The following is a 12,918-nucleotide window of genomic DNA, read 5'->3' on the forward strand; positions in this document are numbered from 1 at the left end:
GCGATTGAATCAATCCATTAAGAAGTATTTTTTGAGCACCGGTTCTGGATTTAGCAGTGTGATGGGCACTTTCATGGGTAGAAAAGAAGTGGAAGGTATACGCTGCCCTGGCTACTGAGTTAGGGAGGCAGAAATAACACAGTTGGAGTGATCAGAGAACAGCAGGAAACGTGGGACCATCTGGGTGACTGCTGGCCTGTGGGAGGGTGCAGAGGAGACGAGCTGTGGGAGCCAGGAGAATCACCTGCCGGAGGTGGGACCGGGGCTGGGTCTGGAATGATGAGTGGATTCCCATCAGCAACATCTGGCTTTGCCTTTTGTTTCCAGTCTGGACGATGGGCCAGAGGGTCAGAGTGAATGCTCTTGTCAAGCCAGGAAAAGGACTGTGTGATGAGAAGCCCCAGGCATCCTTCTCAGGTCCCTTGCAGACCGTGAATGTTTCAGGATGGGGACTGGCCCAGGTGTCCTCAGGCATGGGCATCTGTTTCTCAGCTTCCCAGAGTTTCCTCTGTTGGATTCTTGGAAGGAAAGAAAAGCGCTTTGGGGAAGACCTCGTTTAATGGGGGAGGTCCGAGCCTTGGTAGCCAGTGCTGGAGCCTGTCTGGAGCCTGCCAGCAGGATCCCATCTCTCCTGCTGCCTCCCATTCTGCTCACCTTTCCTTTGTATCTTGTGCCTTCTAGGTTGGACTTGGCTCAGTCTCTGGGACTCACTCAGCTGCAGGTGAAGACCTGGTATCAGAATCGCAGGATGAAATGGAAGAAAATGGTAAGAAAGGAGTGACTAACCATGATCCCTTCCTGATGGGAAGGACTTTTACTCCAGGGCTGTTGGGAGGGAGGCCGGACCATTTGGCAGTTTGGGCTGCAGAGATTGGAAGGCCTTCTATGCTGCTGGCTTGCGGGGAAGCTGTTGGATCTGTAGGTTGAGCTATTCCTCTTGACCTGGAGTTCCTAAACAGAGGGATATTCTTTTTCTGTTTCCTTAGAAATCAAAGGAAAAAAAGCTTACAGGCTTTTAACTTGCTAGTTTTATTATTATACTTAAGTTCTAGGGTACATGTGCAGAACATGCAGTTTTGTTACTTAGGTATACATTTGCCATGGTGGTTTGCTGCACCCATCAACCCGTCATCTACATTAGGTATTTCTCCTAACTTGCTAGTTTTAACCCTACCTGCTAGCCTTTTCAAACAACTTCCTTCTTCCTCCCACCAAGAGCTAAAAATAGAAGTCAGTACTCTTTGTTTATAATGACGTAGAGGATGCATCTGTTCTTTTGGCTGTGCGTCCTCTAACGCAGTGATCCTCAAACTTTGGTGGGCATTAGCGTCCCCTGGGTAGCAGGTTAAATGCAGAACTCTAGGCCCCCTCCCAGGATTCTGGTCCCAGAGGTCTGGGCCAAGGCTGGGAATGTGCGTGTTAACAAGAGCCCTGGTTATTCTGAAGTGCCTGGTATGATGACCACAGTTTCCATCATCCTGCTCTAGTGCCTAGCTAATGAATATTTCCATCTTTGATTTTTAAGTATTAGAATAGATACATCCCTACGTTGTGAGGAACTCAATTTCATTATCATTTATTCTTTTCACTAAAAAGGGCACTATTAAATCAAAATTTTCCAAAGTAGTTGAGTGTTTCCTTTCTCAGCTTTGTAAACCACTGAGACAAGGTCAAAGCCCAGAGCAAAAGAAAACGAGGAGGGGTGGCGATAAGGGAAGAAGCCCTGCTGTTCTCTGGAGCCCAGGTGCCACCATGCCACCTGCCATAGGCTTCTTACCCCCTCACCAAACGTTAGTGGCTCTTTCTCCTCTCGTCCATGCCATGCCTTCATGATGACATTCTAATTTGCTAACCTGTCTGGTCACAGGCCCTATGTCTTGGTGTTTCAGGGCTAAAATATGATGTTTTTCACAATAATCAAATAACTACGGGGTTCTGCCAACCCCAGTTTTCAGGAAAAAAAAAAAGTCAGTGGATAGATGTTTTCTCAATGTTGTGGTTTTGTCCAATATTGTTTTTTCTTAAGCTTTTAGTTCTTGCTATTCCTTGCTATTTTCTGCTAACAATGAGGAGAAAAAAAAAAACAAAATAAGTAAATTGCAGATGAACATCAATGGGAAAAATTAGGAAAAAAGTCAACAAGCAGCAATTATTATATTCCCAAAAAAGAAATTCCTGGGCAAATCTTGTAATTTCCTCTGGGGGGACCTGACCCTGAAATGAAAGGGTTTTCAAAATGGAGGCGACTTGGCTCATGAAGTGCCCACGAATTAAGACAGAGATGCCAGTTATGTGTTCAAACATATGGATATTGCATGAGTCAGCAAATATATATTTTGTGTCTCTTGTGAGCCATTCCTTGTCCTAGGCACTATAAGAAGTAATTAAATAAAATATCACCCTTGCCTTCATGGAATTTATGATGTAGTCAGAGAAACAAGGCCCAGGAGGTAGCTGCCGAGCATGTTATAATTAAGTGCTGGTTGTTACGGATTTATAAGCCCATCGGAGTTCAGAAGAGAGGTAATGGAGAAGGTGGCCGGGAGAAGTTGAAATTGAAGGAAGTGGCCCGGCACGGTGGCTCACGCCTGTAATCCCATCAGTTTGGGAGGCCGAGGTGGGTGGATCACATGAGGTCAGGAGTTTGAAACCAGCCTGGCAAACATGGTGAAGTCCCGCCTCTACTAAAAATACAAAATTAGCTGGGTGTGGTGTTGGTTGCCTGTAATCCCAGCGACTTGGGAGGCTGAGGCCAGAGAATCACTTGAATCCAGGAGGCAGAGGTTGCAGTGAGCCAAGATCACACCATTGCTCTCCAGTCTGGGCCACGGAGCAAGACTCCGTCTCAAAAAATAAAAATAAAATAAATAAATAAATAATAAAAATAAAATAAAAAACCAAGAAATTGAAGGAAGAATGGATTCGGTTAAATAGTCTTCCAAAAACTCTACAGTGCCAAGCACACATGGACACCTTTTGGGGGATTGGTCTCTAAAGAACTAGACTTGAGAGTGAGAAGCACCCGGCCGTGTTCCCATGCTTGCCCTTCCCTGGCTGATTTTGGGCAAGTCCCTTCACTGCTTTCTGTGCAAGATCCACCACCCACCTTCTTCCTCGTCAGTCATCAGCATTGAAATCAATGCCTCCTAAGTAGCAGAGGCATTGTTTAAATTGGTTATCAGCAATCTTTTCGTGAGTCAGATGATTAAGGAATCGACAGGCAGCCTCCTCTGCCAGCACCGCCCAGTGCCCGTGGGCCAATGCGTGTGCCTTCGTCTCTGACGTCACTTGTTTTTCACCAGCAACAGCGTTGCTGGCATGGTTGTGGGCCAGTTATTGATGGGTATCAATGCCATGTAAACCAAAATGGAAGAGTAACTTAGCAGATCTAACCTCAGAACATTCTGCAAGCCAGTCACCTTCAGGTCCCTTTAGGAGCCAAGAGGCCCAAGCTGTCAGTTCACTTTTGAGATAATTCATTGAGCATTTAACATTCATCAGGCCATGGAGATGCAAAGATAAGACATGAGCCTGTCCACCAGAAAATAAAATTATAAAAAGGTACTCAGTCAAGTGCAGAAGACACATCTGCAAACTGGTATTATTATTTCACGGAGCGGTCAGGGCAGCAGCAGGGAAATTTATAGGATCAGCGCAGAGAGTGGAATAGCAAGGCTGTGTTGTGATCCTGATTGCTTCATCTAGTTTCCCAGTAAAACTCTTTTCAAGGCTATCTGTTTAGGTACCAGGGAGGAAAAGAAAAAGATAATTGAGTAATAAAGATGTCTCAAGGCTAGTAACCTAATTGGAACTGGAAAAAGATTAGCAGTTGATTCTCAGACTTATTCACATGGCTGCCAAGGGTAACTTTGCCAGAACCGAGATAGCATCTCTGACGAATTCTGACCCGTCAGCATTGGTAACCTATAGCGGGTTGGGTAAATTTAATCTTGCATATTTAAGATGGGATGCGCACCCTCTATTCCATGTCTGTTGGCTTTAGTTCCCGCAGGACCCACAGTGTTTTGCAACAGGCTGAAAGAGCCTCATTATTTGGTGGTCTCTTTGAGCTCTAAAATGCAATTCTCTTCCATGAGAGGATCCAAACAGATACCTCCTTTCTCTCCTAGTGACAGAATTGCGTGGGCCCCACACTATTCATGGTCATTATCTTTCTCATGAAAAGTCCCCAAATAGTTAACAACTCCATGAATTGTTACCAGTAGCTCTCTGTGTAATCTTGGGCAGGTTACTTAACCTCTGTGTGCCTGTTTCCTCTCCAGTAAAAGGCCTAACACGTACCTTGTAGGGTTGTGTTATTAACTGAGCTAATCTCTGTAAAACACGTAAATAGGACCTGCCATATAGGATACAGCCAAGAGATGTTATTGCCGTTATTATTATCATTATTAGTATTTTTATTACCTAGCCACAAAATCCATGTCTTCAGAGAATCCAAATATTTGGAGGCCAGGATACATAAGCCAAAAGTGAATTCTATGAGTTTCAGGGACTCCGCACAGCCCTGAGCATTTGTCCTTTCTCAGTCCCTGCTCCCCAGTCATCTCCAAGTCAGCGCCTTGGCATTTGGGGCCTTGCCTGAGGTCCAGTGGAACATCACATCTTCAGGCTGAGAAAGTCAGCTAATGGGAGCAGCAGTGTCTGGGAGGAGATTCATGCTGGGGAATCCAAACTTGTTTCTCAGCTTCATGGAAACAGTCATCAGTTATGTGGCCCTCGCTGCCCTATAAAGCTGCAGAGAGAGACAGAGAAAAAGGAACAAAGATCACCCCCACTAATAAGTCTACTGCCTGGAGTCTGCTGGGAGGTTGGGTAATTGCAAATAAATAACCAGACGTAGAACAGTGGCCCATTTTACATATCCCTCGCGCATTATGCTGAATGCAATACTGCTAAGACTGTTAGACTCAAATGGTCAGGAGGTTTGTGTTCAAATCCCAGCTCTGCCCTTGGCTTGCTCTTTGATACTGACAAACTCTGTCAGCTCAGTTTCCTATCTGAAAAGTAGAGGGAAGGAGAGAGTTCCTTCCTGCACTGACATTCCCTGCCCCCTACCCAGGCTGCTTGGAGGGAAGCAAAAGATCCGGTCTTAACACCCTCAGCAACAGAACATCTGAATACCTCGTTGCAGAGTTTGGAGGAGGGCTGTCACCAGGCACGGCTAATAAAAGTGGATGGTGTCCTAGGTGTTCTTCCGAGAGGCAGAAGGAGGCATGTGACCTCTTAGACAAGGAGCTCTCTGGCTTCTCTGGACCAACGGGACTAAACTGGCTCTAAGAATAAATGGGGAGAGGGCTCCTAGGAGGAAGGCCACAGGGTGCATGTGAATGGGCAGCTCCTGATGGAGAGTGGTTCTGAGATAATTGCATGTCTCAGGTGTGCTGGAAGGCAAGGGGCCAGAGGTTGAGTGCAGAAAGCAGCCAAGAGGGTAGTTATCTCCTAATTATTGCTTGTGCTGGAATGTTTTATTCCATTTAGAAAATGGTCTAATTGTTTTGGGGATTTTTTTTTCATGCAGTAGGAAAACAGCCAGGTGGGGTCCGTCCAAACCGTGTGGGTGGTGTTCTCTAATTGCTGGGCTGGACTTTCTTTTGCCAATTAGGTGGCTTCCATAGACCTGCCCTTTTCTAGTTTGATTACTACATGGGGCAACTTACTTTTGTATAACCTCTTTCATACTGAGTGGATCTGCTTTCAACATGTAAATTCCATCTTGGCACAATTGGGTGCTTTCAAAAGCCTGCACTCAGACTGAAATCAAAATCAGATAATGACTTACGTGAAAAGAAATACAGGGAACGTCTTCTCCCCAGGGTTGGTTTCTGTCAGCATCTCTACCTCGTTAAAGGTCCCCTTAATATCTGTGTGTTAGCTGTTGATGCGGAAAGGACAGTGGTTGAGCAGAGTTTTAGCTAAAAGGAGGTGTTTACTGAGAACTTCTTGGTTTTCTTACTTCATACTCAAAAATTAACTCAAAATGAATCATCATCTAAATGGTGAGAGTGAAAACTATAAAACTTAGAATATGAGTAAGTATCCATGACCTCGGATTAGACAAAACCTTCTTAGATATGACAGCAAAAGCACAAGCAACAGAAGAAAACATAAATTGGGCTTCCTCAAAATTTAAAAATTTTGTGCTGTGAAGGACATCATTAGAAAAATGAGAAGACAGCCCACAGAATCAGAGAAGCTTACATCTGATAAGGGACATGTATCCAGAATATTTAAAGAACACTTACAACTCAATAATAAAAAGACAACCAAATTTAGAAATGGGCAAAAGATTTGAATAGACAATTTCTCCAATGAAGATATACAGCTAGCCAATAAGCACTATGAAAAGATGCTAAACTTCATTAGTCATCAGGGAAATAAATGCAAAGCAGAACCACAATGAGATACCACTTCCCACCCTCTAGGATGGCTGTGGTCAAACAGCCATCAACAAGTGTTGGTGAGGATGTGGAGAATTGGAACCCTCATATGCAGCTGGCTGGAACGTAAAATAGTGCTTTGGAAAACAGTCCTCAAAATGTGAAACATAGAGTTGCCAAATGATCCAGCAATTCAATTTCACTTCTTTCCCATGTTCACAGCCGCTTCATTCACAGTAGTAAGCAACCCACGTGTCCATCAACTGATGAGTGAACGAACAAAACATAGTATATCCATAAAATGGAATATTATTTACTGATAAATGCTACGGCATGGATAGACATTGAGAACATTATGCTAAGTGAAAGAAGCCAGTCACAAAAGTGCACATATTATATGATTCTGTTTATATAAAATGTCCAAAAATAAGCACATCTGTAGAGACAGAAAGCAGACTAGTGGTTGCCCAGGGCTGTGGGCAGATCGGGTAGGGGCTGGGGGAAAATAGGGACTGACCGCTAATGCTATGGGGTTTCTTTTTGGGGTGATAGAAGTGTTGGAAAATTGCATTGTGGTGATAGTTGTACAATTCTGTGACTATCCTAAAAATCACTGAATAGTGCACTTTAAATGGATTTGGCATGTGAATTATATCTCAGAGCTGTATACAAAGTAAGTTATGGTTTTATCCTTAAAATTCAGCACCTGGAGGTCCTCTGCTGCTCTTGAAGGAAAGAGGAACAGTCAGTAAATATTTAGGGACTGCATAGAAGTTAGCTGGAAGTTTGATTCTTGGAGCATGGAGTAATGGAGAGAAGCAGGGTTTGTCTTCAAGGAGCTTATATACAAATATAGAAGACAAGAAGATTAGGCTAGGTTTATAAATAGCGAAAATATCTCCCACCCCTAATCATCTGTGCTAATCCAGGTCCTCTGGAAGCCCTTCTCACTAACTGCCCAGAAAATCAAGAACTATGCCAAGCCAGTGGAGGAAGGAGTGTCTACTACATTCCAAAGCAAAATATAAATATTTTTAAAATTATCCCTGTCTGCCTCCTGGGACTCTTGTGTGGGTCACAAATTGGGATAATAAGGGTGCCAGGCCTTTGAAGTCAGCCAAGGCCATTTAGGGTCCAGTTATTTGGCTTGCTTTATATCTTTTCTCGACTCTAGGGAAAGGTTTGTTGAGAAAGCCTAGTTCATTTGGTAACAGTTGTCAAACACCTGCTATGTGCAGGGGCTGAGTGAGAGGGGCAGCAGGTAAACATGCAGTGACCATAGTTTCTGAAAAGTGCTCTGGCCAGAACAGTAGAGGCTGCTCCTAGGGCACACGGCAGAGGGCATTTAACCTAGACCTGGGGGATGAGGAAGGCTTCCAGGAGAAGTTAGCCAGGAGAAGGAGGGCGGATGGTATATATATTCTGGGCAAAGGAAACCTACCATTCAGGTGCCGTTCTGGTCCTTTCATACACATTATCTGTTGGTCACCCTCACTGTCACCCTGTAATACAAGGTATTATTATTCCCATTTTACAGATTAGAAAACGGACACTCAGGGCCTTTAAAGGACTTCCCAAAGACAAAGATGATAAGTGGCAGAGTTGGAATTTAACCCAGTTTTTCTACTATCAAAGCCAAAATGCTTTTTAAACTCTGCTGTACTACTTCTTCGAACGCTACAAGACTACATGTTTTATAACATATTTTTTCTGATTACAGAAATACTTATGTTTGATCATTGTTGAAAGTTTAGAAAATATAGAAAAAACAAAGATTAAAAATGATTCATGATCCTGCAAACAAGGTGGTGTACAGATCACTGCAGACAAGGTGGTGTATAGGTTGTCTAGCCTCCAAACTGGATTATGCTAAGAATCTGTTTTTTACAAAACTATATGAATAATATTTTCTGTGTTATTAAACATTCTCCTATATAGTAATTGTAATGGTTGTCAAGTATTCTGTCTTTGGGATTTACTATAATTCTACCCAATTACATGGCTAAACTTTTAGGATATCACCCCCCTCCAACTTTTGCTGTTATAACCAATATTGTGATGAATATTTTTGCAGATCAATCTTTGTCTCAGTCTTAGATAATTTTTTAGAATTTAGCCTAAGGACTTTCTGTGTCAAAAAGCCATGCACATTTTAAGGCTTTTGACTTGAACTCTCAGGTTGTCTTGAAAAGTGTGTAACAATCACACTTTCATACAGTGTGTTTTTTTTCCTGCTTGCTACAAATATTATTGTTGTCTTTTTAGCTTGTCAACTTGATAGTTATTGCATTAACATTTTAATTTTCATTTCTTTCCTTATTGTTGAAGTTGAATTCTGAAGCTGCCTATGATTGTTGTATTAAATGCCAAAATATATAATGTTGACCAAAAATGCGTTGAGCATTTAAAAAATGGAGGTGTCTTTGTAGACCAGAGGTGATGGGTTGAGAATATATTTTGCCAAATCCTGCAATTTCACTGCTGGAACAGATGGTTTAGATGCAACGTGAGGTTATACTGGGAGTGGAAAGGTGGAGGGAAGGAATTATTTCTTAGATTCAATAACAATTTTTTACTCACGTAGGTTCTTAAAGGTGGACAGGAAGCACCCACAAAACCCAAAGGTCGCCCCAAGAAGAACTCCATCCCCACATCAGAAGAGATTGAAGCTGAAGAGAAGATGAACAGCCAGGCCCAGGGTCAGGAGCAGCTGGAGCCCTCTCAGGGGCAGGAGGAGCTCTGTGAAGCACAGGAACCGAAAGCACGTGATGTCCCCTTAGAGATGGCAGAGCCACCAGACCCGCCCCAGGAGTTGCCAATACCCTCTTCGGAACCCCCACCATTAAGCTAAAGTAAAACCCTTTTGAGGGAAGAGGGAGACTGGGGAGAAGGGAAAAGAGAGAAGGCAGGGAGAGTAGGGAGAGAAAACCTTCCAGCAGCCCAGTAAACTGCGGGCGAAGAGATCTACCCGTCTCCCTCCCTCCCACAGTTACCATTGGCCTTGTCATCGCAAGCATTTGACAAAGACTTGCTTGTCTTGGGCCTGTCACCTCCTGAAAGGCTGCTTTAGCTGTGGATGCCCTTGATTAAGGGAGAGAGCGCCTAGGAGCTGCCTGCCCCAGCTGGGGTGACGGCTGTAGGGCTGGGTCTATGTTGCAAGCCCTATATCCTAGCATGCAGTGGAAAGTGCTTAGCTCTCTCCCTCCTGACCTCTGGGCAGCCAGTCATCAAAGCAGAGAGACGTGGCGGCATGTGGGCAGCATGCCCAGGTTCCTTGCTGACTCAGCACTTATTTCTGTAGTTTTAAAAAAGAATTTAATGTTTTTGGTTGTATTTTTTTGGGGGGGTGAGGGTGGGCAAAAACATGGGGGTAGTTCTGAGTTGTTAGAAATGTTTCTGAATCAAGTTTGTTTGAAGACACGTGTGCCTTTGTACCCATTATAAGATGGTCATAAGACCCAAGAACTGATAAGCTTTGGTTTTTTTTTTGTTTTGTTTTGTTTTTTGCTTCATTTACCCATTCATGCCTAGGGTTCCATTATTGGAACCCTAAGCTTGTGGGAGTTATTTCTATCCTACTGCTCAAGGTCATCACCAAGATCTGATTTTTCATAAAAAACATTTGTGACCTTCGGCATAAATGGGTTAAGGTGCCATCCCTGAAACTGCAATGCAGATATGTTCAGATAACTTTTATTTTTTAATTAAAAATAAATCTTTCAAAAGGATTGAGTGTTTTGTGTCTTCTGAGGAGTGTATCTAACCCTTCCTGAATGTGTCCTATGGGAAGAGAGATCCAGAGAGTGAACCAAACTAGGGGGGCCACCTTTTCCCCATCTATAAAACAAAGGATTGGGCCAGGCCATTGGTGTCCAAGTGCTGAGAGCTGTGGGAGTGGAACCGAGCCTCCGGGATGAGGACAGGGCAGAGTAGCTAGGCTCTCCCTTCCACCTCTCCCACCGCCTTCTGCCAGAGCAGCTCCCTTCTCAGCCGCTTCACATTTGGGGCGTCCAATGGTCTTACTTTTTTAAAGAGGTAAGAAATGTATATGCTTCAAAAGTCAAAACTATAAAAAAAGAAGTCTTGGGCTGGGAGCAGTGGCTCACGCCTGTAATCCCAGCACTTTGGGAGGCCCAGGCAGGCGGATCACCTGAGGTTGGGAGTTCGAGACCAGCCTGACCAACATGGAGAAACCCTGTCTCTACTAAAAATACAAAATTAGCTGGGTGTGGTGGTACATGCCTGTAATCCCAGCTACTTGGGAGGCTGAGGCAGGAGAATCGCTTGAACCTGGGAGGCGGAGGTTGCAGTGAGCCAAGATCATGCCATCGCACTCCAGCCTGGGCAATAAGAGCGGAACTCTGTCTCAAAACAAACAAACAAACAAACAAACAAAAAACAAAAAAAAACTTGCTTCCACCCTGCCCTCTCCTCCCCTGAATCCCCGGTAGGTAATTATTTTTATTGGTTTCTTGTTCATCTTTCCAGGGTTTCTTGACTAAGTATTCATTTGGATGATGGGCTCTGCAACTTTTAACAAAAGAAGACCTGAGAACTACTTGACTAGATGTGCTGGGTGATTTTAAATTTAAAAATTGTGTTCCACGTTAATTTAAGACCAAAAAGAAGGAGGCTCTAGATTTCCTAGCAGGAGGACTCTGCCTCTGTTTTTTTTTTGTCTGATTCTCATGCATTCTGGCCCAGAGCCTGATCTCAGAGGGGTCACCTTTATGATCACTGCCCCAGCGTGCTCACCTGTGATGGCTTACAGGGCCGAGTGCCCATTTAGTGGACTCTCAGTTATTAATTACACACAAACTCTGCCCAGTTGCAGGCTTGGAGAATACCAACTTTCAACAGTGGCCTCAACAAGGAAGCCAAATCTGTTACTACTTCTGTAAAACAATCACATAATTCATTTCAAAGTTAAACAGGAAAGATCCGCGTGTTTTCCATCACCTGGCAGGCCGCCTGCTTTTCTCCATTAACAATCAGAAAGTGACTGCAATTTTGACTTTGCCAAGGCAGTGCCTCATCCCCTTTGTTATTGAGATCAACAGAGAAAGCAGTCTTTTTCTTAACTCTTGTGAATAGACAAAGGAGGGGAGGATTTGGCTTCTGAGAACCAGTTTGAGCAGACCACACCTAGCTGCCTGTGCGAGGTTGCTTGCACCAAGCAGGCAGAACGCTGTCTCCTCCACCTGTAGCCCACCCCATGGTACAGTTTTATGATCTGCCTACCAGGTGGTGTCACAATGAGCCAAAGAATGTGCACAATGGCCAAAGTAAGCCGGTGGGTCAGTGTTAGTTCTGTGTCAATCCTAAGGAAGTGTTCTGTCCCATTCGCGCCACCCCAGAGAGGCCTCCTGTCTGGATGCTGGCTTCCCAGGATGGTGTTCCATCTCTTGCCCTGGGCTCCCATGATGTCCTTTTCTTTTTTTTTAAGTTCAGGGGTACATCTGCAGGTTTGTTACATCGGTAAGTTTGTGTCATGGGGGTTCGTTGTACAGATGATTTCATTGCCCAGGTATTTCAGCCTAGTACCCATTAGTTATTTTTCCTGATGCTCTCCCTCCTCCCACCGTCCTCCCTCTGGTAGGCGCCAGTGTATTTTTTTTCCCCCTCTATGTGTCCATGTGTTTTCATGATGTCCTCTTCTGAGGTGCCTGACAGTGACTGTCACCGCACAATATACGTGTCCATACACAGTGGTATTCCTGAGCGCTGGGTTCTGGGAGCTATTTCGGACCTCCGACTCTCACTCCTTGGCATGTGACCTGTGCTTTTGTGTCTTGCCTGTAGGGGTTGAATTCATTGGTGAAGGTAAGACCTCTGATGATCTTTCCTTGTGTTTTGGAGGGTCCAAGCCCAAGACTTGTCTTCCAGCCTCAGTTATGCGTAGCTTTGCCTGGTGACCCAGAGAGGCCAGGCTGGGCCTTTTAAAATGTTATTTTTTTAATTGACAAATAAAAATTGTGTATATTTATGGGGTATAACATGATGTTTTGAAACATGTATGCATTGTGGAATGGCTAAATCAAGCTAATTAACATATGCATGACCTCACATATTTATCTATGGTGAAAGCACTTAAAATCTACTCTCTCAGCAATTTTCATGTATACATAATTCACAATAGTCACCATGTTGTACAATACACCTCTTGAACTTATTTCTCCTAACTGAAATTTTGTACCCTTTGACCAACATCTCTCCAACCTCCCTCTACCCGCTACCGCTGGCAATCACCATTTTACTCTTTGCTTCTGTAAGTTCAGCTTTTTTAGATTCCACATGAAAGTAACCTAAACGCCCATCAATGATAGACTGGATGAAGAAAATGTGTTACATATACACCATAGAATACTATGCAGCCATAAAAAAGAACAAGATCATGTCCTTTGCAGGGACATGGATGGAGCTGGATGGAGGCCATTATCCTCAGCAAACTAACGCAGGAACAGAAAACCAATTACCACATGTTCTCACTTATAAGTGGGAGCTGAATGATGAGAACACA

At 43.9% G+C, this 12,918-nt stretch overlaps 1 protein-coding gene across 3 annotated transcripts in view, besides 1 other annotated feature; it reads left to right on the forward strand.

The window, feature by feature from the left end:
- BARX2 (BARX homeobox 2) overlaps nt 1-10,126 on the forward strand; it is a 77,047-nt gene extending 66,921 nt beyond the window's left edge. For all 3 annotated transcript variants that reach the window (XM_011543044.3, NM_003658.5, XM_011543043.1), the window contains exons 3-4: nt 682-766; nt 8,983-10,126. In XM_011543044.3, coding sequence (XP_011541346.1) covers nt 682-766; nt 8,983-9,249 — 352 coding nt within the window. In that variant the 3' untranslated portion in view covers nt 9,250-10,126. The remainder of the gene's footprint in view (nt 1-681; nt 767-8,982) is intronic.
- Nucleotides 11,164-11,665: an enhancer, noted in NCBI's record as "NANOG hESC enhancer chr11:129323212-129323713 (GRCh37/hg19 assembly coordinates)". NCBI's record gives its function as "activates a minimal SCP1, AML or CMV promoter by ChIP-STARR-seq in naive H9 embryonic stem cells {active_cell/tissue: H9 hESC(naive)}" and the evidence as "EXISTENCE:reporter gene assay evidence [ECO:0000049][PMID:30033119]".

This window comes from Homo sapiens, chromosome 11 (assembly GCF_000001405.40).
Source record: "Homo sapiens chromosome 11, GRCh38.p14 Primary Assembly".
NCBI classification, from domain to species: domain Eukaryota; kingdom Metazoa; phylum Chordata; class Mammalia; order Primates; family Hominidae; genus Homo; species Homo sapiens.